Source organism: Homo sapiens, chromosome 10 (assembly GCF_000001405.40).
Source record: "Homo sapiens chromosome 10, GRCh38.p14 Primary Assembly".
Classification (NCBI taxonomy): domain Eukaryota; kingdom Metazoa; phylum Chordata; class Mammalia; order Primates; family Hominidae; genus Homo; species Homo sapiens.
Window position 1 is genome coordinate 74,570,429 of NC_000010.11, and position 25,897 is coordinate 74,596,325.

At 37.3% G+C, this 25,897-nt stretch overlaps 1 protein-coding gene and 1 long non-coding RNA gene across 14 annotated transcripts in view, besides 1 other annotated feature; both read left to right on the plus strand.

Moving 5' to 3' along the window:
• ADK (adenosine kinase) overlaps positions 1 to 25,897 on the plus strand; it is a 558,070-nt gene that overhangs the window by 419,208 nt on the left and 112,965 nt on the right. For all 13 annotated transcript variants that reach the window (NM_006721.4, NM_001369123.1, NM_001202450.2 and 10 more), the window contains one exon: positions 18,854 to 18,889. In NM_006721.4, the coding sequence (NP_006712.2) occupies positions 18,854 to 18,889 (36 nt within the window). The remainder of the gene's footprint in view (positions 1 to 18,853; positions 18,890 to 25,897) is intronic.
• Positions 15,096 to 15,265: an enhancer, noted in NCBI's record as "active region_3596". NCBI's record gives its function as "activates an Ori minimal core promoter by ATAC-STARR-seq in GM12878 lymphoblastoid cells {active_cell/tissue: GM12878}" and the evidence as "EXISTENCE:reporter gene assay evidence [ECO:0000049][PMID:35858748]".
• On the plus strand, positions 18,896 to 24,919 carry LOC124902457 (uncharacterized). The gene is made up of 2 exons (XR_007062199.1): positions 18,896 to 21,375; positions 22,243 to 24,919. It is a non-coding gene; the product is annotated as an uncharacterized LOC124902457 (long non-coding RNA).

Here is a 25,897-nt window from a genome sequence, read left to right on the forward strand (position 1 = left end):
TTGTATCCTCTTTTATTTCATTGAGCAGTGGTTTGTAGTTCTCCTTGAAGAGGTCCCTCCTTGAAGAGGTCCTTCACATCCCTTGTAAGTTGGATTCCTAGGTATTTTATTCTCTTTGAAGCAATTGTGAATGGGATTTCACTCATGATTTGGCTCTGTTTGTCTGTTATTGGTGTATAAGAATGCTTGTGATTTTTGCATATTGATTTTGTATCCTGAGACTTTGCTGAAGTTGCTTATCAGCTTAAGGAGATTTTGGGCTGAGACGATGGGGTTTTCTAGATATACAATCATGTCATCTCAAACAGGGACAATTTGACTTCCTCTTTTCCTAATTGAATACCCTTTATTTCCTTCTCCTGCCTGATTGCCCTGGCCAGAACTTCCAACACTATGTTGAATAGGAGTGGTGAGAGAGGGCATCCCTGTCTTGTGCCCATTTTCAAAGGGAATGCTTCCAGTTTTTGCCCATTCAGTATGATACTGGCTATGGGTTTGTCATAGATAGCTGTTATTATTTTGAGATACGTCCCATCAATACCTAATTTATTGAGAGTTTTTAGCATGAAGAGTTGTTGAATTTTATCAAAGGCCTTTTCTGCATCTATTGAGATAATCATGTGGTTTTTGTCTTTGGTTCTGTTTATATGCTGGATTACATTTATTGATTTGCGTATATTGAACCAGCTTTGCATCCCAGGGATGAAGCCCACTTGATCATGGTGGATAAGCTTTTTGATGTGCTGCTGGATTCGGTTTGCCAGTATTTTATTGAGGATTTTTGCATTGATGTTCATCAAGGATATTGGTCTAAAATTCTCTTTTTTTGTTGTGTCTCTGCCAGGCTTTGGTATCAGGATGATGCTGGCCTCATAAAATGAGTTAGGGAGGATTCCCTCTTTTTCTATTGATTGGAATAGTTTCAGAAGGAATGGTACCAGCTCCTCCTTGTACCTCTGGTAGAATTCAGCTGTGAATCCATCTGGTCCTGGACTCTTTTTGGTTGGTAAGCTATTGATTATTGCCACAATTTCAGAGCCTGTTATTCGTCTATTCAGAGAGTCAACTTCTTCCTGGTTTAGTCTTGGGAGGGTGTATGTGTCGAGGGATTTATTCATTTCTTCTAGATTTTCTAGTTTATTTGCGTAGAGGTGTTTATAGTATTCTCTGATGGTAGTTTGTATTTCTGTGGGATCGGTGGTGATATCCCCTTATTTTTTATTGCGTCTATTTGATTCTTCTCTCTTTTTTTCTTTATTAGTCTTGCTAGCGGTCTATCAATTTTGTTGATCCTTTCAAAAAAGCAGCTCCTGGATTCATTAATTTTTTGAAGGGTTTTTTGTGTCTCTATTTCCTTCAGTTCTGCTCTGATTTTAGTTATTTCTTGCCTTCTGCTAGCTTTTGAATGTGTTTGCTCTTGCTTTTCTAGTTCTTTTAATTGTGATGTTAGTTTTGAGCCTATGTGTGTCTCTGCACGTGAGATGGGTTTCCTGAATACAGCACACTGATGGGTCTTGACTCTTTATCCAGTTTGCCAGTCGGTGTCTTTTAATTGGAGCATTTAGCCCATTTACATTTAAGGTTAATATTGTTATGTGTGAATTTGATCCTGTCATTATGATGTTAGCTGGTTATTTTGCTCGTTAGTTGATGCAGTTTCTTCCTAGCCTCGATGGTCTTTACAATTTGGCATGATTTTGCAGTGGCTGGTACCGGTTGTTCCTTTCCATGTTTAGTGCTTCCTTCAGGAGCTCTTTTAGGGCAGGCCTGATGGTGACAAAATCTCTCAGCATTTGCTTGTCTGTAAAGTATTTTATTTCTCCTTCACTTATGAAGCTTAGTTTGGCTGGATATGAAATTCTGTGTTGAAAATTCTTTTCTTTAAGAATGTTGAATATTGGCCCCCACTCTCTTCTGGCTTTTAGAGTTTTTGCCGAGAGATCTGCTGTTAGTCTGATGGGCTTCCCTTTGTGGGTAACCCGACCTTTCTCTCTGGCTGCCCTTAACATTTTTTCCTTCATTTCAACTTTGGTGAATCTGACAGTTATGTGTCTTGGAGTTGCTCTTCTCGAGGAGTATCTTTGTGGCATTCTCTGTGTTTGCTGAATCTGAATGTTGGCTGCCTTGCTAGATTGGGGAAGTTCTCCTGGATAATATCCTGCAGAGTGTTTTCCAACTTGGTTCCATTCTCCCCGTCACTTTCAGGTACACAAATCAGACGTAGATTTGGTCTTTTCACTTAGTCCCATATTTCTTGGAGGCTTTGTTTGTTTCTTTTTATTCTTTTTTCTCTAAACTTCCCTTCTCGCTTCATTTCATTCATTTCATCTTCCATCACTGATACCCTTTCTTCCAGTTGATCGAATCGGCTCCTGAGGCTTCTGCATTCTTCACGTAGTTCTCGAGCCTTGGCTTTCAGCTCCATCAGCTCCTTTAAGCACTTCTCTATATTGGTTATTCTAGTTATATATTCATCTAAATTTTTTTCAAAGTTTTCAACTTCTTTGCCTTTGGTTTGAATTTCCTCCTGTAGCTCGGAGTAGTTTGATCATCTGAAGCCTTCTTCTCTCAACTCGTCAAAGTCATTCTCCATCCAGCTTTGTTCCGTTGCTGCTGAGGAGCTGCGTTCCTTTGGAGGAGGAGAGGCGCTCTGCTTTTTAGAGTTTCCAGTTTTTCTGCTCTGTTTTTTCCCCATCTTTGTGGTTTTATCTACTTTTGGTCTTTGATGATGGTGATGTACAGACGGGTTTTTGGTGTGGATGTCCTTTCTGTTTGTTAGTTTTCCTTCTAACAGACAGGACCCTCAGCTGCAGGTCTGTTGGAGTTTGCTAGAGGTCCACTCCAGACCCTGTTTGCCTGGGTATCAGCAGCGGTGGCTGCAGAACAGCAGATTTTCGTGAACCACAAATGCTGCTGTCTGATTGTTCCTCTGGAATTTTTGTCTCAGAGGAGTGCCCGGCCGTGTGAGGTGTCAGTCTGCCCCTACTGGGGGATGCCTCCCAGTTAGGCTGCTCAGGGGTCAGCGGTCAGGGACCCACTTGAGGAGGCAGTCTGCCCGTTCTCAGATCTCCATCTGCGTGCTGGGAGAACCACTGCTCTCTTCAAAGCTGTCAGATAGGGACATTTAAGTCTGCAGAGGTTACTGCTGTCTTTTTGTTTGTCTGTGCCCTGCCCCCAGAGGTGGAGCCTACAGAGGCAGGCAGGCCTCCTTGAGCTGTGGTGAGCTCCACCCAGTTGGAGCTTCCTGGCTGCTTTGTTTACCCAAGCAAGCCTCGGCAATGGCGGGCGCCCCTCCCCCAGCCTCGCTGCTGCCTTGCAGTTTGATCTCAGACTGCTGTGCTAGCAATCAGCGAGACTCCATGGGCGTAGGACCCTCCGAGCCAGGTGCGGGATATAATCTCCTGGTGCGCCATTTTTTAAGCCTGTTGGAAAAGCGCAGTATTGAGGTGGGAATGACCCGATCTTCCAGGTGCCGTCTGTCACCCCTTTCTTTGACTAGGAAAGGGAACTCCCTGACCCCTTGCGCTTCCCGAGTGAGGCAATGCCTCGCCCTGCTTTGGCTCACGCACAGTGCGCTGCACCCACTGTCCTGCGCCCACTGTCTGGCACTCCCTAGTGAGATGAACCCGGTACCCCAAATGGAAATGCAGAAATCACACGTTTTCTGCGTCGCTCACACTGGGAGCTGTAGACTGGAGCTGTTCCCATTTGGCCATCTTGGCTCCGCTACTTTCTTTCTTTTTTTTTTTTTTTTTTTGAGAAAGATTCTCACTCAGCCACCAGGCTGGAGTACAGTGGTGCGATCTCAGCTCACCGCAACCTCCATCCACCTCCGACATTGAAGCGATTCTCCTGCCTCAGCCTCCCAAGTAGCTGGGACTACAGGCGCATGCCACCACGCCCTGTTAATTTTTGTATTTTTAGTAGAGACGGGGTTTCACCTTGTTGGCCAGGATGGTCTCGCTCTCTTGACCTCGTGATCTGCCTGCCTCAGCCTCCCAAAGTGCTGGGATTACAGGCATGAGCCACTGTGCCTGGCCATTCTTGCTACTTTCATAGCAAAACATTTGGCTTTGGCTTTGCTATTCTGCTTTATTGTACTCTTTGATATCCAGTATCTACCAGTAATGTCTGGACTGCATACATCGTTGAAAATACAACTGTAATTAAAGATTTAAATGCAATATTCTTTCAGGAAAATCTCTTTCCCTGATTTTGTTTGATATTGGAAATGAAACAATACCATAATCCTTCAGGATAACTTCCCACAGCAGGACAACTGCAGGAATGGCACAAAATATGAATTGCATAAATACTCTTATAGAACACATCAGACTAGCACTTTCCCAAGTTTTTAGTCAGATCTTTGCTACCATCCCTGAAACTGTTAATGCATATGAGTAGAAAAATTTTTTACCTTTGTAAGCAAAGATTCTACTACTAGAATAATCAAATTAACTCATTCTAATGCACATTTACTTAATTCATACTATGTGTGAGGCAGTTTTAGGATGTGATAGAAAACTTTGTTTTGAAGAAGCTGATAAACTAGGTGGGGGGGAAACAGAGTACAAATAAATTATAATGCAACATAAGAAATAGCATAATAGAAGAATATTCAGACCACTAAAGTCAGTCAACTCTGATCCCCAAAATTAAGTATGAACCACAAAAAAATCAAGTCAGTGTCAATCTAATGCAGATTTATTTGAGGGCTTCTCTTTTCTTCTTTGCTTAATGTAGGTGAGTGCTTTATCCTTGCTATTTGGTAAATCAGCAAGGATTTATTATCTATTCTTTGCAGAGTAGTATGTTAGATGCTTTGAGGATACTAAATGAAAAAGAGTTTCTGCACCAAGAATGTATAATCTAGTAGAGGAGATAAGCTATCTATACAAATAACTGTGTCTGCAGTCTGCACATAATTGTTATAAAAGAAGCCTTTACAACTTGAGCCAAATTCTTTTACAATGCAGAAAGCCACTCCTGGAGGTAGAGAAAGGAGAGAACATGAACAATTCAAGAAGACTTCTGTTATGCAAAAGATGGCTGAACTAACCCTGGAGGGATGGGTAGGATTTTGACAAGAGTGGTTGAAGGTATTCTAATTCACTTAGTACCTACATGTGCGAGGCAGCATGAAGGCAAAAAAGCCTGGGGCATGTTCAGAGAATAGCAAGTATTCTAGTTTGAGTGGCACCTGGTACGTATATAAGGGAATAGTAAAAGATCTGGCTGGAAAGGAAAAGTAGGGGCAGGTTACGAAGGACCTCTGAAAGTCAGACTGTGGAACTGGAACTTTTATCAGGAAGCAGTAGTTAGTTTTTTCAAGCAAAAGCTAATTAGAGTTGATATTTAGGAGGATGAATCTAACAGTTGTGTGCAAGGATGCCTTCAAACTGAGTGAGACTAGTACTGGAGACTGGTTAAGAGACTACAACAATAACCTGAGTAAGAATTAATACAGGCCTGACCTAGTTTTGAGTGAGTAGGATTGGAAACAAGAGTTTTAGGTATTATAGGATTTATGCATATAAAATGGACTTGACAGAACTTGAAGAAAGAGAAAGTGTCAAAAGGACACAGAAAGTGAGGCAGGATATCTTACAATGTTAAAGGAAAGGAATAATAGAAGTTACCCCCCACCCCAGAGAAAAAAAAGTAAAGAGAAAAGATTGGAAAGTTAAAAACTGAACTTTTAGAGAAAGACTGCATTTAGGGAATGTAGCAAATAAGATAAGCAACAGAAAAGTGAGAGAATGGGAATAAAGATATGCAACAGAAAAGAAGGGAAGAGAGTTCCTAGGAAAGGGTGGGGAAATTCAAATTCTAAAATATCGATGAAGTCTCATTTTTCATGTATTAAATTATCCAGTGGAGTTGGAAGATCCAAAAGAGAGCAATTAAATATGCTAGAGTGCATGGGGAAAATTGACAAAAGACCTAAAAGAAAAATATTTAACCACAAAATGAAAAGTAATAGGAGATGCTAAGAAATTTTGGATGGGAGTTAAAATTAAATCTCTGAAAGAATAAAAGGGAATTAATACTCAATTTATATCTTAAATAAATATTTCTAAATGTTACACTATGCAGAAATCCTTCTTCCCTGGAAAAAATGAGATCAAGTCCTATTCAAAAAGGTCAAGAAGAAAGACTGAGGTTGGTGACCCGTGAGAAAAGTTTCTGAGATAAGTGTAGGTGGAATTTGTAGTATTATTTATCATAAGTCAGATGGCTGTTAACAAAAAGTTAATTTTACATCTCATCTGTTAGCCCAGTCGCTTTATAATGTTCGGTACAACAGAAATGCCACTACTTTGTAACCACCTAAATGCTGTATTACCTTCAATTTCCATTGTGTTGTTGATACCCAAGCAGAACTCATTCTTTGTCATGGAGACTACAGAATACCACAAGCAGGCACTAAGGTTGGATAATGTGTTATCTCACATTCTGAAAGGAGGGTCTACATGGTAGATACATTTCTTGATTCTGTTTTGGGATAATTGGCTCCTAAGATAATTGGCTATTTCATTATTAAATGCAGTATGAACTTTGCAGAAGTATTCAGTATCTCTTAAAACCTGTTTCTTTTCCATATAGCAGTGGTACCTACTTTCAATTTAGTATTTATTCACCATCTACTACATGCTCCACTTAGTGTTTTGTATTATTTCTCTGTGTGTGTGTGTGTGTGTGTGTGTGTGTGTGTGTGTGTGTGTAGTCTAACTTGTACATTTGGCCAATTTCTTTTTCAAGCATGTTAGATTTTTCTCTCTGACTTCTTTGTAGATGTGGGGTAGTTTTGTTTTTTACTTAAGAGACCTGTATTGATTATTTCTATGGCTGTCCTTGCTAATTCCCACTGGCCATTGTGAAAAATCTTGTCTATGGTGTATTTGTTTCTAAGACAGCCACATTACAATACACTCTGTACATAATTACTATGAATCAGCTGGCAAGAAAGAAGAAAATAATACTGGTTATTGGTAATATTTGTTGATTTTATATGTTAGCTTTATTAAAGATTTTTTTTTCTTATCTTTTTTCTTTCAACTATTGCTACCTCTGAAGAGGCTTTTGGTAGTATTTAGATGGGTTGTGCTATCCATAGGTAAAAATTCTGACCTGGGGGATATTACCTTTATTTTTCACTAGATGTAGGAAAGTAGATGCTGCTCTGTTTTTACTCCATTTTGTTACATTAAAAAAAAATTACAATGTAGTCCTATAAGTTTCTTTTTTTATTTTATCCAGTACTATTTTAGACTGTGAATATTACTGGAATTTCTAGTTCTATTCCCTCTTCTCCCTCTAAAAATCAAAAGTGCCAAAGAGTAGTAGACCTTTTGTGATATGTTCTAGTCAAAATAGCTAAAAACTAGCGCTCTCTCTTTAAAGTTCATATTCATCTAGAACATCTCACACCTTACTCTTACCACTTTACTCACAGTAGTTTAAAAAATAAAACTGTACCCTGTATATTTGTTCATTTTTGTGTTTTATGTAGAGTTTCCATTTTGTTTTTACTTTTTTTCAAGAGTGAATTTTGTAAAACTTCCAGAGTAGAGTAAGTTACGGCCATTAGAGTAGCCCTGGAGGATGAGACTTATAGTGGCAATGATTATCACACCTTGACAACTTGGGAAGGGCCATGGGATGTGGATGTGGAAAATATATAAAAGGACATTGGTTCACATTTGAACAAAGTGGAAGGAATTATTAGAAAAGCACTTAACAAGGGTGCTGATCTCTCCCCATCTGAGGTCTTCTTTCTTCTTTTCATCTAATTTTAAGCACTGATCAGTGAATTCTTTCTCATTATTTTACATAAGCAGGTATCTAAACTTATAAAAAATTGATTATTTATCTTGTCTTTTAGTGCCTTTTTATTAATATAAGTTATTTGGTTTTTAAATTGTGTTGCCAATGAATGAAGGAAGTCCTGTCAAAAGATATACATTTTACTTATCTTAAGGCTAACAGCCACCATGTCCAGCCTAGCAAACATTTTTTTTAATGAAAGTCCAAGTAGTATGGTCTCTGTTAAGCTACTCTACTTCAACTCTGTCTGTGGTAGCATAAAAGCAACCATAGATAATATGGAAACAAATAGTCATTTGCTGTATTCCAATAAGACTTTATAAAAACAGGTGGCAGGATGAATTTGTCCTATAGGCTGTAGGTTGCTGATCCTAGCATAATGTATTGATTATACATTATGGTAGAGCCCTCTGTTGGTTGGAAGAGAGGACCAGGGAAAAAAAAGTGAAGATGTATTAGCTATACAGAACTTTCTAGTTGGTAAGACAAAAAGCAAGAAAATTACAGTAATATAGAATATGTAAAATAAAGGAGGATTCAGAACTGAGTAGGTAATTCTTCAGAGCATGTCAAATGTAGATTATGGTAAAGTAGAATGTTTATGGTTTAATACATCAAGAACTATATCCTTCATAAAATAAAATGTAGCTGGACATGGTGGCTACATCTTAGCCACCATATTTTTACATGTACATGTTTGGTACAGGCTTATGGTGGCATGTAATTCCAACATTTTGGGAGGCCGAGGCAGGTGGATCACCTGAGATCAGGAGTTCAAGACCAGCCTGGCCAACATGGCAAAACCCCATCTCTACTGAAAATACAGAAATTAGCCGGGTGTGGTGGCGTGTGTCTGTAGTCCCAGCTTCTAGGGAGACTGAGGCATGAGAATCGCTTGAACCGGGGAGGCAGAGGTTGCAGTGAGCTGAGATCATGCCACTGCACTCCAGCCTGGGCAACAGAGTGAGACCCTGTCTTAAAAAAAAAAAAAAAGTGAAGAACAAGGTAAGACACATTTAATATATCTGATCAAGTGGTCTTGTCCAAAAAATGTCCTGATACATTTTTTTAAACTAATAAATGGAGGATTGCAGACTTACTGAATATGGCAGGATCCTTTAGCATGTAATACTTTAAAATGGATCCACACTGAACTTCTGCTGGATGTACTGGAGTAAGAGTGGCCAGATTTATCCTCCCTCCTCAAACAATGCAAAAACCAGACAAGGTATATAACATAAGAGTTTTTAGACACTAGACAATACTGGGCAGTGATCCCTGAGAGAAAATGAATGAGGCATCCCTACAATTTCCATAGCATTCTGCCTAGATAGCTTCCAGTCTGTAGTCTGCAGGAAGGAGATCCAAAACAGAAAGAACCCAGTGGCCCAACTGAATGGAGACAAAGCCAAGGTGGCTAGAATTTGCATGAGACAGTGCGAGAGAAGACAGAGCTCCACAGAGATAGAGCACACACACTGGATATCTGCAGAGGGCTCCCCTTGATTTTTAAGCCAAGTACTGAACCACATAAGTATGCTAGGAAACTACTTAGGGACAGGGATAAAGCCACTGGAAAGGAATAAGTGGAACATTTCCTGAACTCAGATAAGATTAATAATAGTTTATAGCCCCAATAATCACAGTGGAAAAGCCTCTAATAAATTGGACATCTTTTTTAGTACTCAAAAGAATATTACATCAGTTGGGGACAATATTAGCTCTAGATTAAGAGCTGCTCTCATCTCACCTAGTAAAGCTTCTAAATAAGCTTGTAAAGAATCAAGTTGTTTTTGAGTAACCAACTGAATTTCAGAGTAAAGTTAGGGCCATTAGAGTAGCCCTGAAAATATATAATGAGAAACAAAATATTTGATATGGTTTGGCTGTGTCCCCATCCAAATCTCACCTTGAATTCCCACGTGTTGTGGGACCCAGTGGGAGGTAATTGAATCATGGGAGCAAGTCTTTCCCATCCTATTCTCATGGTAGTGTATAAGTCTCATGAGATCTGATGGTTTTAAAAAGAGGAGTTCCTGGCCAGGCACGGTGGCTCACACCTGTAATCCCAGCATTTTGGGAGTCCAAGGCAGGTGGATCACTTGAGGTCAGGAATTCAAAACCAGCTTGACCAACATGGTGAAACCCCATCTCTATTAAAAATACAAAATTAGCCAGGCATGGTGGCACACGCCTGTAATCCCAGCTACTTGAGAGGCTGAGGCAGGAGAATTGCTTGAACCCAGAAGGCAGAGGTTACAGTGAGCTGAGATCATGCCATTGCACTTCAGCCTGGGCAACAAGAGCAAAACTCCATCTAAAAAAAAAAAAAAAAGGAGTTACCCTGCACAAGCTCTCTCTCTTTGCCTGCTGTCATCCATGTAAGATGTGACGTGCTCCTCCTTGCCTTCTGCCATGATTGTGAGGCTTCCCCAGCCACATGGAACTCTAAGTCCAAATAAACCTCTTTCTTTTGTAAACTGCCCAGTCTTGGGTATGTCTTTATCAGCAGCATGAAAATGGACTAATACAATATTCTACACCTAAAACATAAAATTCATAATGTCTGTTATCCAATCAAAAATTACCTTTCATTACCTGAGAAAGGCATTGTTAAAAAATAAATAAGTAAGCCAGGCACAGTGACAAATGCCTGTAGTTTCTAGCTACTTGAGAGGTGGAAACAAGAAGATAGCTTGAGCCCAGGATTTTGAGGCCAGCCTGTGCAACACAGCAAGACCCTATCTCAGTCAATCAATAATAAATACACACACACACACACACACACACACACACACACGTATATATAACCATTCATGCGAAGAAGCAGGAAAATACAACCCATAATGAGGAGAAATATTAATAGAAATGGATTTAGAAATGATACAGATGTTAGGATTCGTTGACAAAGATGTTAAAACAGCATTTCTAAATATATTATGTATTTCAAGAAGGTAAATAAAAACATAATCCTATTAAAGAGTAATGTGGGAAATGTAAAAAAAGACCTAATTTCTAGAAATAAAAAATACCATGTCTGAGGTGAAAAGTTCACTGGGTAAGATGTGGCACTACAGAAGAAAAGATTAAGGATCTTGAAGACATAGCAATAGCAATTGTTCAAAATGAAACACCTAGAGGGAAAAAAAGACTGGAAAAACAAGCAGTGTCACTGTGAGCTGTGAGACAACTTTAGATGATCAAATATATAAAGACTACGGATGGGGCAGGGAGACAGAAAAAATATTTGAAGACATAAGGGCTGAAATTTTTCCAAATTTGATAATAACTGTAAACCCACAAATCCAAAAAGCTCAACAAACCAAAAGCAGAAGAAACACTGAAAAGCTACACCAAGGAACATAATCAAATTGCATAAGATCAGTAATAAAGAAAAAAAACTTAAAGTAGCTAGGTTTCTAAAAACAACAACAACAACAACAAAAATGCATTACATACAGAGAAACAAAGATAAGAATAGCAGCAGTCTCCTCAACAGAAACAATGCAAGCTAGACCTTGGAACACAGAAGGAAAGAGAATATTAACCCAGAATTCTAGACCCAGTGAAAATACCTTTCAAAAACAAAAGCAGAATACTTTTTCAGACGTATAAAACCTGAAAGAGTTCATCAGCAGGAGACCATTCAGAAAGCCTCAGATCTAAATGCTGCCTGTAACAATTACCTGCTGTATGGCCTTGGACATACTTGAATCTCTCTGAACCTTCAAATTTTCATCTGTAAGATAAAAATAATGCTAATTTTTAGGGGTTTCGTGAGAATCCAATGATAGAAAGGAAAAGAACTGACATTCATTGAATGTCTTCTTTATACCAACCACGTATTATCTCATTAAAAATGGAAATAACCTGCCTGGGCAACATGGCAAAACCCTGTCTCTACAAAAAAATACAAAAATTAGCTGAGCATGGTGGTGCATACCTGTAGTGCCAACTGTTTGGGAGGCTGAGGTGAGCCTGGGAGGTTGAGGCTAAAGTAAGCTGTGATCCTGCCACTGTATTCCATCCTGGGCAACAGAGTGAGACCCAATCTCAAAAAAAAAATAAAAAATAAAAATGGAAATAAAATTCCCAATAATAGGGCTACTATCCTAACATTTTTCTTATGCTAGCCTCTTTCTTCTTGTTCTTTAATACTAAAAACTTGGGTTGTTCTGAAAGAAATTAGTCTAAGTAGCTTGTCTGTCTTACGTTTTGATGAAGCACTTTTTCCTAACTTAATTTGTTCTTTAGTTACCAGATTAAATATGCTTAAAAGTGGGAATGAACAACTCTCCTTGCTAGAATAGACAAGTCAGTTAATCACTTTGTGAAACAGTTAAGTTTCTTGTAAACTGCACTTTATTTTTTTGCCTGTGTTTTGGCTGCTTAATTTTTTTCAGTTATGTTTATTGAGGTATAATTTATATACTGTTTATCTAATTTTTATTATAAACCTATTGGATAGAGGCATGAGTGTCTTTATAGCTGTGCATTGCCCCATAGAGTTTTTGGCACTCAATAAAATGTTAAATAATATTTTTATTCAGCATTCTGTAGACGGGAAGCATATGGTAACAAATGTCAGAGCACAGGTTGAAAATCTCCAAAAAGTTATATGATATATTCTTTGGAAAAGCTAGTAGAGATACTTTTGTGAATGAAATTTCTCTTAAAAGGGGTTCCCAGACTCACATTTTATGCAACAAATTTCTCCAGCCTTCAGTTACTTTATTTACAAATTAAAGTTTTTCCTTATCAGAAATAATGCATAAGTTAAAATAGTATAATACTAACGTGGTATCATAAGAAAGTATATAAATGGTTTGATAGATAACATAAAGTAAAGGTAACTCATAGTTTGAAGGACAGCATGAGAAAATATTTAGAAGCTTTAGCAGTATAAGTCTTTATGTTGTGATATATTGTATGAAAAGAAATACACAGTGGATAGTTCTTTATTGTTAAATTTCAGCATGACTTAGTTATGTCACTGCTACAGCTGTTGCAGACATTCTAGTGGTAGGAGACTTTGACTCAATATTGTTTTTCTCACCTGAGGATTCTAGCACTATTTAATACTCTTATTTTAGTGTCAGAAACAATCATTGCTTCAGAATAACAGAAGACATTGTGAATTAAAACTTCAAATAAATTTCATGCAAAGGATAATATCTCCCGGTTAATCTGTGTTGAAGAAATGGTTGACCATAATCAGGTATACAAAGCCATTTAGATAGCATATATCTAAATTTTCTTTCCAGAATTTGCTTACCCTCTGATTTGCTGACCACACTTGCTTTGAAGTTTTGGTTTTTGTTGTCTTGCTATGTTGCCCAGGCATGTCTCAAATTCCTGGACACAAGCAATCCTCCCACCTCAGCCTCCCAAAATGTTGGGATTACAGGCATGAGCCACTGCACCTGGCCACTTTGAAGTTTTTATTAACATAATTTGAATGTGAAATTACCTGAGTTTTTCTTGTTAACCTCATGTATAAAATGTGGGATAGGGAATCCAGGCACTGCTTACTTAGCTTGGTGCCTCTGGCTCTCATAAGACTTTTAATAAAGGTGTCAACCAGGTTTGTAGTCATCTTGCTGCTCAGCTAGGGGAGGATCTTCTTCCAAGCCCACTCATGTCCGGTCACAGCCCTCAGATCCTCACTGGTTATTGATCATGCACCACTCCATAGTCCTCACAACATTGCAACTTATTTCTCCTAGAGCGAGGGCTCAGAGAGAGAAGGCTTGTGATCAAGAAGATGAACAAAACATACCATCACTTTTGTCATATATTTGTTAAAGCAAGTCACTAGGTCTAGAGCACATTCAAGGGGAGGAGAATGTACAAGGATTTGAATACCAGGTTCAAGGATCATTGAAAACCATTTTGAAGACTGCCTCCTACACATATAATCCACAGATGGGACAGATCATTAAAGTACTCTAGGTGCTCTGACACTCATTTGTTTATCCTGAGATCTTAACAAGAACTTGAATTCAATAGGCAAAATGATTTCAGTTTCACATAAAGTATTTCATTTATTCCTAGCAACAATGCAACGAAATAGGTATGGTTAACCCCAATGTTATTGATGAAGAAATTGATGTACTGAGTGACTGGCTCAAGATTACATAGCAAATAATTTGTAAAACTGGGACCTTAGTGTAGGCCTTTTGATTCTAGACCCTGTACTCTTTCCATTGGCTATAATTGCTTCCTACCAGTACTATGTTGCACTTAAAGCCATTCAAGGAGAATATTATACCTCTAAATTTATATACAATTATATGAATTTTTATTATACAGAGATTTTTATACATATATGTAGAGAAAGACAGACACCCCCCTGTCTTAATCTCTAACCTATACCACTCCGTTTAGGAGTTATAGTATTATTGAGTCAAAGTCTAATATCATTATAAGGCCTGTAACAGCTGTAGCAATGACACACATGTACACAGATGCTAGCAGCCTAAAACTACACTTAGGAGGTAAATGTTTGTTGCATGGAGAGATGAAGAAGCAAAGTAAGAAAACAGACCTGGTCTGGTGGCTCCATTCCCCCTTGGCTTGTCAGTATACAGAAATCATTGTGTTTCTATATAACTAGTAACAAATAATTGGAATTGCAGTGAGTATGGGCAAGTTATGGTTTTAGTTTAATATTGATTATAGATAATTCTACTTTATAAGTAAGAACTTGTGTTATCAGATGAAATATAGAGAAAGTTTTCTCCTCCATAGTTGTCTTTCATATACGCAAACATGCACTTGAGTTTCTTTCCTTTCCTGCATAATCTGAGGATTGTGCTTTTTAATAGTGGCTTGCTGATCCCTTTAAATAGCTCTTAATGTAAGTATTCCATAGTTTTCATTAATCTGATTAACATAGTTTTTCCCTAACCTCCATTCAAAAACTATATTTGGTTGTTGTTTTACCCTGGTTGCTGAAGCAGCAAGCCTACTGCAAAACCTAAGTGGTGTGGTATAGATGAGAGTCTAAGACTTTAATTATATGTCATTTTATTCACAACACTCAATTCCAGGAAGGAAAAAATGGGTCTGTTTTTGTAAAGGACATATTATGTGAGTATCATTCATTGTAAACCAAAAATGATACTGTATTATAGCATAGACAACAATGAGAACTGATTCTGAAAATGTGACCTGACTGAGAAACTGAGTAATAGTGAAAGTTATCAAAATGGAAAAAAAGCGTTAATGTGAAATCCAGCCTTCTCAGAAATACTCTTTCCTGGCCTGTTTAGTTTTGCTTTTGTTGCTTGTCATGCATGAATGAAAGTGCTGTACTCTCAGGGGAGCAGGAAAGCCTCTGTGTCGGTTGTTTATTTCCTTAATCCCTCCTCCTTTGTGATTTTTGATGTCAGATCTAAAATGGAAAGCCTGTAAATATAATGATTATCACACGGATAATCACCTGCATTAGGAACCGCCCTGCTTTTCTATTCTAACCCGAGCTGTTCTCCACATGTCACATCCACTCTGTGGTTGGATTTTAACCTGACTGCTTCATTAGATTTGTGAAACTCAGTACGAGGCGCCCTGGGGCAGCACAGATGGGGACTTGCTTGTTTTCTTTTCTCACTTTTACTGCAAAGGCACACTAAAAAGTCCTTTTCAATTTAGTGCGATCAGTTCACTTGGAATTATCTCTGATATTTGGAACCTGTCTTGCTCTTCTGCCCACCAACTATGCCTATTCTTTCTTCCTTACTTTCTGACCTAATGTCTTTTCTTTCTGCCTCTGCATGTCATGAATCTGACAACTAAAATTCTGCTTACAATTCTTACTGGGTCAAACTGTTCCCCCGTGTTGTTTTGTTTGTTTTGCTGACAGGGAAAAATAAATGTTGTTCCATCATTGTACCTACAAACACCTTCAGATCAGAGGTTAGCTGTGGGAAAGTCTGCAGTGATATGAGCCAGCTGCCTTCTCTAATGGAGTGACTTGGGGCACCAGTCCAAGATCAGAGGAAGGTGGGAGGAAGTCAGAAGATAAGATCATTTTAAGCCACAGAACAACAAGCTTAGCTTTTCTAGTGATAGGGCACAGCTCAGCAAACCTGTGTGAGGGGGCACTAAGACAAAAAATTGAGTTGACTTTTTTTAAGTACATCTTTCCTCAGTCAGAAATATGTTGATGCTTGAAATAGTTTACAGACATGGAAGTGTCCTAGGGCCTGGTTTCCTTAAAAGATAATGATTTGACATTTATATATGTGTCTTCTTGCAGTTAGTCAGCTCCATACCATAACAGATCACAGTTAATTTTTAAAAATAATTTTTTTGGGCTGGGCATAGTAACTCATACCTGTAATCCCAGAACTTTGGAAGGCCAAGGCAGGTGGATCACCTGAGGTCAGGAGTTCGAGACCAGCCTGATCAATATGGTGAAACCCCCATCTCTGCTAAAAATACAAAATTAGCTGGGCATGGTGGCACACACCTGTAGTTCCAGCTACTCGGGAGGCTGAGGCAGGAGAATACCTTTAACCCAGGAGGCGGAGGTTGCAATGAGCTGAGATCGCACCACTGCACTCCAGCCAGGGCTACAAGAGCAAAGCTCTGTCTCAAAAAAAAAAAAAAATATATATGTATATATATACACACACACATATTTATATACACATATATATACATATACACACACATAAATTTTTTACAGTTAATTTCTTATATTTGAGCAAAACTGGACATTAAAAAAATTTTACTGTATGTGAATTTTGAGCATTTATGGCTTAGTGCAATTTTAGTCCTACACATTCTTCCTTTGAACTTTGTCTTACAGTCCCCTGGGGTTCTCTCATGTCTCTGATGAAGTTCCATATAAATAAGTGGTTCTAGTATAGCTTTTTTGTTGTCTTTTTCATATAAGAATTTGCTTGGTTCAGAGTGACAGCTTGGGAAGCACTACATCAATAGCTTTTGAACCTTTTCCTATTCCTTGATATCACCGCCAGCAAATGTTACTGACTATGTGATGTACAAAGTTCTAACCTTGCTTGCACAAATTGACCAGTTGTCAAGATCAATATTTATTTGCTTATTTTTGTCTACATGAACTAAGGGTAACTTGGTCAGGCTTATGTTTCTCTAGTAAATAGCGTAAGGAGTTGTACTTTCAACTTAACACTTCCTGTTGACTTCAGTGTTTAGCTGTAATCATACATTTTGACCTTTCTAAATCCTCAAAATGGTTCTCTAACCTATATGTTATTAGTACATTGGACCATAGGTGCATACATGTATTTTTTTCCCAATGTTTTCCCAAATTTCTGCTGAAGACACTGACTGTACTTTCTGCCTTACATGGCTTGATGCTACAGTCGTTTTAGTTGAGTTGGATCTGCTCACTACTCAGGCTCAAATCCCATCCTTCTATTAATATCTCTTGGCAAAGATAATTTTGGAAGAATGTGAGTTAAGATGTAGAGACTCTTGACAGTTGTCTGCAGTTTTTTTTTTTTTTCATTTTCAAGAGGGAAGTAGAGTTGAAAAGTAATATTGCCTCCCTTTTCTATCTGTCCTAAAATTAAAGTATAAGCACAAAGAGTGAAGAAAGGGAAAGGATTTGATTACACATATGTATTTTTGTCATTTAGTAACCTGTTATAAGAGCCTTAGGGTATATAATAATCATTAGATTGTGTCCTTAAGATATTTAAAATCTAGAAGAACTTTGCATATTAAAATTTTTTAACCATACATATTTTTAATGCTCAACTGTTTTTACCCTGTCATCTTATATTAAAGAGGATTTTTGGACTGTTTATTATAAAAAATTTCAAACAAAAAAGGAGACATTGGACCCCTACATAGCACATACATCTAGATTTAACACTTGTTAACATTTTGCCACTTTTGCTTCATTTTAATTTTTTTCTGCAGTATTCTAAAATAAATTACATATATCATGACATTTCATTTCTAAATACCTCAGGATTCATCTTAAGAATTAAGGACTTTTAAAATCAAACTGATAATTCCTAATATTACCTAATTTTCATTTCAGATTCAAATTTCTCCCCTTGTCCCAAAAATGTCTTTTATAGCTGGTTTGTATAAACCAATTAAGGTTTATACATTGTTCTTGGTCATTTTCCCTTTTCTACTTTACATTACATTGACTTGTTAAAAACATTAAGCTAGTTGTCCTACAGAATGTCCTACCCTATGAATGTTTTCAGTTGCTTTCTCTGTGTATACTTTAACTTGTTCCCCTATCCTCTGTATTTCTTATAGACTGCAAGTTACTGGACTAAAGTTTTGATTAATTCATATTAAAGTATTTAGGTTAGAATACTTTATAGGTGATGGTGTGAACTTCACACTGCATCACAACAGAAGGCAAAGAATATTTGGTGATCCCACTATTAGTGATGATAAGTGATAGCATCGATCACTGGGTTAAAGTGATGACAGCTTGATCCTTCCATTATAAAGTTATGCTTTGCTCCCGTGACCAGCATATAATCTGAGATACTTTGATTCCATGGAAATACCCAGTTCCCTATCATCCTTTTTACCCAATGAGTTTAACATCTACTGAGGATCCTTGCCTGCATAAATTTCGTTATGAGGATTGCAAAAAGATGATTTTTCTGAATTTATACATTTATTAGCAGGCATTCTTCTCTACATAAGAGCTTTTTGAGAGGTATTGTTTTAATTAAAAACACAACCACCAGCATATTCCTTGGATTGTCTTTCTTTGCTGAGGTCAGAACACCTGAACTCACTGTGGCAGCTACAGTAAAAACATGTACTACATCTTCTTTATTCCAACTTGTGAAGTGTGTTGACATTAGGCTGCCTTTTTTTATTATTATTATTCCAAGGGAAAAAAGAAATCTTTATTGCTGTAAGAATAAAAATTGAACTATGTGGGTATATTGAGATAATTGTGTAAAGAAGAAGACTGAATGAGTTTCAAAAAATGGATTATTTCTTCATTACCGAGCACTTTATAATTAACTGTTCTTTTTTTTTTTTATTTCAGGAAGCTGCCACTTTTGCTAGAGAGCAAGGCTTTGAGGTGAGTTAACCCACAATTGCACACTAAACAGATCCTAAAGGTTTTTTCTAGCTGATAATGAAGTTCTTTTGGACAGTGATTGATGTGCTATTATACTCTCAGAGCCTCGCAGCAGTTGCCATGGAAACTTGGCAGTCGTCATGGTTTCTTTGTTCTGCCAGCACAGTGTTATGACGCACTCTGCTAGGTCTGCACCCAACATCGCCTACAGATGTTATTTATTGAATTTTGAAAAGCCTCTTGGGAAGCCAAGAGGTTGGGCACGGTTTCAAGCTGCCTCTGCAGATATGGGGCCTGTCAGTTTGTTCAGTTAAAAAGCTACCTCATTAGCTGCATTACATTTCATAAGGATTCACTGCTAAAGCAGTGGTGGAACAAGACTAAATAATGAAATATAATGTCGTTTAAATAATTTCAGCCCTATCACATGTAGATTATCATTATGCAAATTAATTTCTAAAAGGTTGTACTTAACAGTTGTTAGGAACTGATTAATTTAAATCCTGCTTTTATAAACTTACTCTTTGAACCTATCTTTTCTTCTCTCTCCCTCTTTTTTTCTGGGGAGACGGAGGTAGCATAAAATATACATACATTTTCTGAAATAAAATATCAATAATTGGATTTAATTTCTAGGTCCTAATTCTGTTTTTCTGATATAAGTGTTATCCTGTCAAGATTCAAAACTCCATGTGGTTGTTGTTGGCAAAACTGAGATAACCGTGTTTTTTATCTGTATAATACCCCTCTTCCAACTGATTGTTAGAAAACACTGACTAATATGAACCCAGGTTAACTGACAGAGAATTAACTAAGTTGGAGTTGTTTATGACTATGATATTTATTGAGTGAACTATGTAGAATGCTGTGTTCTTACAGCAACTTAAAGTGTTACAGGGTAGTAATTTTTAAAAATTTAATCTAACCACAGCCGAAATGTAGGAACTTTCTTTTTATTTGCATATTCAGTATTGTCTATCAAACAGGGAAGAGGTGAGTGGTGATTGAATAGTATCAGTAAGGACTAGTAAGCTCACTTTGAACTCTAGAGAAAGATATTATATGAGTTTGTGAAACTCTTTTTAAATGTAGTAAAGGCAGATTATCAAGCAGCAAAGTAATACATGTTCATGTTATTCATGTCATCAGACTTGACAAACGAGACATAGAGCTTCCTCTTCATAGAGGAAAGACAAGGAACATGTGATACAGATATTCTGTTCTGAAGATCCTATAAAAGAACTACTCCAGAGTAGGGAAACTTGCTTCTTTGTACTCAATTATTAGGAGCTGTGATAGTTTCTTACAAGTTTGCTTTTTTATGCTTTACCATATTATAGTAAATCTAGGTTTAAGTCACATTTAGAAAAAGGATTTCCAAGTGGTGGGTTTTTTTCTAATTTAAGTTTCACATTTTAATTTCCCAAACTGGCAATTATATGTAGGACAAAATGTAATCATGGGAATATTCAATTAAAAAGTCAAATGTTTTGATCATGAGAATATAAATAAAAATTTTCAGGAATTTTTTAAAGTTTTACTGATTTTAAGTTTTAATATTACAAAAATTATATTATCTGTTGATACATCAGAATTCTCCATAGAAGAAAACTTTCAGAACATACATTTGTATCCTGTCAGTTTACTGTGTTACCATAAAAAATGTATTTTTGGTTCTATAAAATAACCAATTTTGCAGATACTTAGAAATATAATTTGTTATATAACATGATCATGATCCTGTAGTATCTACATAGCAGTTTTTAAAAAATAGTTTATTAAGCCTGATTAATACTTTTATTTCCCCCTTGAGCTACTTGCTTTTCATGTGCCTGGTTTACATTCAGTCATAGCAACAAACTACTTTTTCTATTTTCCATTAACTAGCACTATATTCACCTTTCCATTAGTTCTTACTTACTGATTCTTGAATTGTTTTTGCCATAAATCTGCCATAATTGATTACAGCATATAAGCAAAATGATAATGATTATAATCACATACCTTATTACCTCCTGACATAGCAAAACTGCTCTGTCAGTGATATTGACAGTGATATGTTAGACTAAATAAAGCACATAGTGTCTTGATGTGTCTCTTCGTAGATTCCCAAAACCATCACAAGCATTGCAGAATATATTTGAACCATGAGTAGGGTACCCTCAAATAGATATTTTTAATCAAATGTAATCCATGTATGGAACACTATCTAGAGAAATTCAATGATTTTATAATGTCACTAAAGTTTCCTAGGTCATTAGACAGAAATGGCAGAGCATAGGTTTGAAACTTGGTATTCTTAAGGAATAAAACAAAAATAAATCACTTTATCTTAATAGTTTTCTGTGTGAAAATGCATTAATACTCTTGGCTAGTGTGACAAACTAGACAAAAATCTGCATTTTATCCCTTCTAACTTTAATTTTGACTCTAAATTTGGAGCATGAATGAGAAGAAAGAAGTGAAAAGATTAAAAGAAAGGAAAGGTGAGTATTTTTTCCTTCCATCAGTGCCGCTGTCCTACCCTCATTTTCTCCTATAAATCCCAATCAGTTCCAAAAGCCACTGAGTATTGCCACTAGTGATCTGGCTGCTGACAGACCAATCCAAGCGCCTCTAAAAATAACCAGTGTTTATTCGTCAGGAAATATTCTCAGTGGCATTTTTTTTTTAATTGATTATTATTCTGGTTAGCTTCTCTGCAAATTTTACTTTTGTAAAAAAAAAAATCTTTAAACTGAATTCGGCAGTTTTCAGTGAGAAGCAGCAGCTTAGGAGAGCACTGGAGAATGAGATAAAAACTGGAGCTGGGCAGAACACAAAGCATAAGAGAGGATTTTTTTATATATATAGGTGATGGAAAATTGCATAGTGCCTGATTTAAATGACAGACCTGCTAAGAATTTAAAATGACAATTCTTGGGGTAAAAAGTTTTATAAGGCCTTTTATTATTCTAGAAAATCAGTTCAGACTGGAGTGTGTTTTTAAATCTAGCTTTTCTTGAGCCGAACTGATTAAATGTTCGTATTTTTAGAACATAAATAAAAATAAGGTGCTCAAAAGCATGTTTCATTATAAAGCCTTTTTTAAACTATTGAAAATTGATTTAAATAAAGTGAAGAAAATACCTCAAAACCTAAATATATATATTCTCTATCTTTTCATTGTCTCTGCAACTGAGTAAATGACAAATGATGAAGAGAATTCATACCTTCTCTATTGGATCATTTATTTCCTTTTACTCCAAGTAATAAATTTTAGATTTTTTTTAAATTTTAGATCTCTAAGAATAATACTTCTGCTCATAGGGGAAACAAAGCAATCCTTTTCGCCTTTTTCACTTCCTCCATAGCCCCTGACTACCCAGAAGATCCTAGACTTGTAGTCTTTCTCTGACCAATGAGGATTCTTTCATCTTACACCACTGAAAGAGAAAAGTATGGAATTGTGCTATCCAATACAGCATCTACTAGCCACATGTGGCTATTTAAATTAGGATTAATTAAAATTAAATAAAATTTAAAATTCATCACTTCTTGGCCTTTTGGCTAAGATCAAATGTAAAATTTTAAATTCAGTCCTTCAGTCATACTAGGCACATATTGAGTACTCTATAGACTATGTAGCTAATGACTACTTTATTGGATAATGCAGGATAGAACATATGCATCATCACAGAAAGTTTCATTGATCAGCATGGATAGAAAGTCTACAGAGAATGTATTCAGGCAGTGTTGATTACCAAAGAATTACCTTAGGTGACTTTTAGGTTCCTGTGTTCTTCACAAATATAAATAGTGCAATGAATGATCACTCAGAGTTTCAGAGTTTCTGAAAATAAGACCCTAAATCAGGCCCTGCTGGCTAAGAGAGTGCAGTGTTGTTTTTGTAGGTGCCTGAACCCCAAAAGAGGACAATTTTAGAACAGTTCAGTTAAGGGAAAGCAATAAGCTAGTCTTCTAATTCTCTTCATTTAATCATTTATTTATTCAACAAATATTTACTGAGTTCTTACTATGTACATACCACTTTGATAGACCCCAAGACAAGGTGGAAGTGACCAGAGAGTGTACCATGAAAGAGCATGTGGGAAGGGTTCCCATTTTAGCTATGATGGCTATGGAATGACCCTAAAAATATGAATATCTAGCAATGACAAAAAAAAAGCGACACAAACAGCAAAACAAATTTCAAACAGAGAGAACAGGACTATAAAAGTCTCTGAACGAGAGAGAACTTAATGTACTATGTACTCCAGGAACTGACAGAAGGCCAGTGTGACTGGAATGGAGTTAGTGGGGACAGCATATGAGATCAATCTGGCACTGACACATCATATAAACAGCATAACTATTAAAGGAGTTTCTATTTGGAAAACAAAACAAAATGGTATGGCTAGATGACTCAATGTGTGGAAACACTACAGTTGGTTTTCTACAGAACTAGGTAGACTGTGACAGGATTGCTTAACCTTTGTATAACCAGCTGGTTAAAAATAGAATAAAGATTTTCTTTATCCAGTCTATCATTGATGGGCATTTGGGTTGGTTCCAAGCCTTTGCTATTGTGAATAGTGCTGCAGCAAACATATATGGGCATGTGTCTTTATATCAGAATGATTTATAATCCTATGGGTATATATCCAGTAATGGTATTGCTGGGTCAAATGGTATTTCTTGTTCTAGATCCTTTAGGAATCCAGTTCATGTTCTTTGCATGGACATGGATGAAGCTAGAAACTATCATTCTCAGCAAACTAACACAGGAACAGAAAGCCAAACACTGCATGTTCTCACTCGTAAGTGGGAATTGAACAATGAGAACACATGGACACAGGGAGGGCAACATCATACACCGGGGCCTGTTGTGGGGTGGGGGGTTGGGGAGGGATATCATCAGGAGAAATAACTAATGTAGATGACAGGTTGATGGCTGCAGCAAACCACCATGGCACGCGTATACCTCTGTAACAAAGCTGCATGTTCTGCACAGGTATCCCAGAAATTAAAGTATGATTAAAAAAAATTTCTAGTAATAGTAACACTACTAGTAATTCAAATGAAGTGTGTGTAACAGAAGAAATAAAAAAAAAATTAAAATGCTACATCTGAAAATACCTATTTCATACAAAGCAAGGAGGTAAAGAAGGGATAGAACATATTTTTTTAAAATATGACATATGGAAAACAAATAGCAAATGGCAGATATTAATTCAACTGCATTAATAATAATGTTAATCTGGAGTAAATAATATGATAAAAAGGCAGAAATTCTCAGACTAGATAAAAAAACTGAGGTCTAACTATATGCTGTCTGAAAGAGATGTATCTTCAATTCAAAGATACAAATAGGTAAAAAAAAAAAAAAAGAATGAAGAGAGTATGTTCTTTGATTTGGAAGACAATGTGATCACCAATGACAATAAAACCATATTTCTACATTTATAAAATGCTCACAGTTTATAAAACCTTTCCCAACATATCAGTAATACATTCATACTTGCACAAACCTTGAGAGATAGGTAGGGCATGTATTGCCATATCAGTTCAACAGATTAAAAAAATAGGCTATATGGCCGGGTGTGGTGGCTCCCACGCCTGTAATCCCAGCACTTTGGGAGGCCAAGGTGGGTGGATCACCTGACATCAGGAGTTCGAGACCAGCCTGGCCAACATGGTGAAACCCCATCTCCCCTTAAAATACAAAAAAATAGCCAGGTATGGTGGCAGATGCCTATAATCCCAGCTACTTGGGAGGCTGAGGCAGGAGAATTGCTTGAACCAGGATGTGGAGGTTGCAGTGAGCTGAAATTGCACCATTGCACACCAGCCTGGGCAACAAGAGCCAAACTCCATCTCAAAAAAAAAAAAAAAAAAAAAGGCTCTATGACTTTTTCAAAGTCATATAGCTAATACATTATGTAGCCAGAACCAGAGCTCAGCTCTCTATGTCTGGTGCTCTTTACTATAAAGCACACAGCTTTCTCTCACACATTCTAACATGTTGGAAGAGGAGATTAGATTTCAAAATGACTTTGAGAAATGAAAAATACCTTTTTTTTTTTTTTTTTTTTTGGGGAGGGGGTTTGGCTTTGTCACGCCAGGCTGGAGTGCAGTGGCGTGATCTTTGCTCACTGCAAGCTCCGCCTCCCGGGTTCACTCCATTCTCCTGCCTCAGCCTCCCGAGTAGCTGGGACTACAGGCCCCCGCCACCACATCCGGCTAATTTTTTGTATTTTTAGTAGAGACGGGGTTTCACTGTGTTAACCAGGATGGTCTCGATTTCCTGACCTCATGATCCGCCCGCCTCCGTCTCCCAAAGTGGTGGGATTACAAGCGTGAGCTACCGCGCCCATCGCCATATCAGTTCAACAGATTAAAAAAATAGGCTATATGGCCGGGTGTGGTGGCTCCCACGCCTGTAATCCCAGCACTTTGGGAGGCCAAGGTGGGTGGATCACCTGAGGTCAGGAGTTCGAGACCAGCCTGGCCAACATGGTGAAACCCCGTCTCTACTAAAAATACAAAAATTAGTTGGGTGTGGTGGCGGGCACCTGTAATCCCAGCTACTCAGAAGCCTGAGGCAGGAGAATCACTTGAACCCAGGAGGCAGAGGTTGCAGTGAGCCAAGATCGCACCATTGCACTCCAGCCTGGGCAACAAGAGCGAAATTCCATCTCAAAAAAAAAAAAAAAAAAACCACTGAAATTCGCTGGAGTAAAAATATGAGCCAAATTAATTAAGAAAAAATAGCAAACTTAAACACAAGATCAGGAATGACTTGTGAATGTGGTAGGAAAATGGTTTAGGATGAACATGCTATAGTTTTGTGATAAAAAAAAACAACAAAAAGCACATTGCTAGCATTTATAGAAGCACTATAATAATGGTTAAGTGTATTATCCTTGGAGTCAGACTGTGGGTGCTAGTCTGTTCTCCACTACTTGTATTTATGACCTTAGGCACATTACTTAACGTCTCTGACTCAGTTTCTTCATCTATAAAATG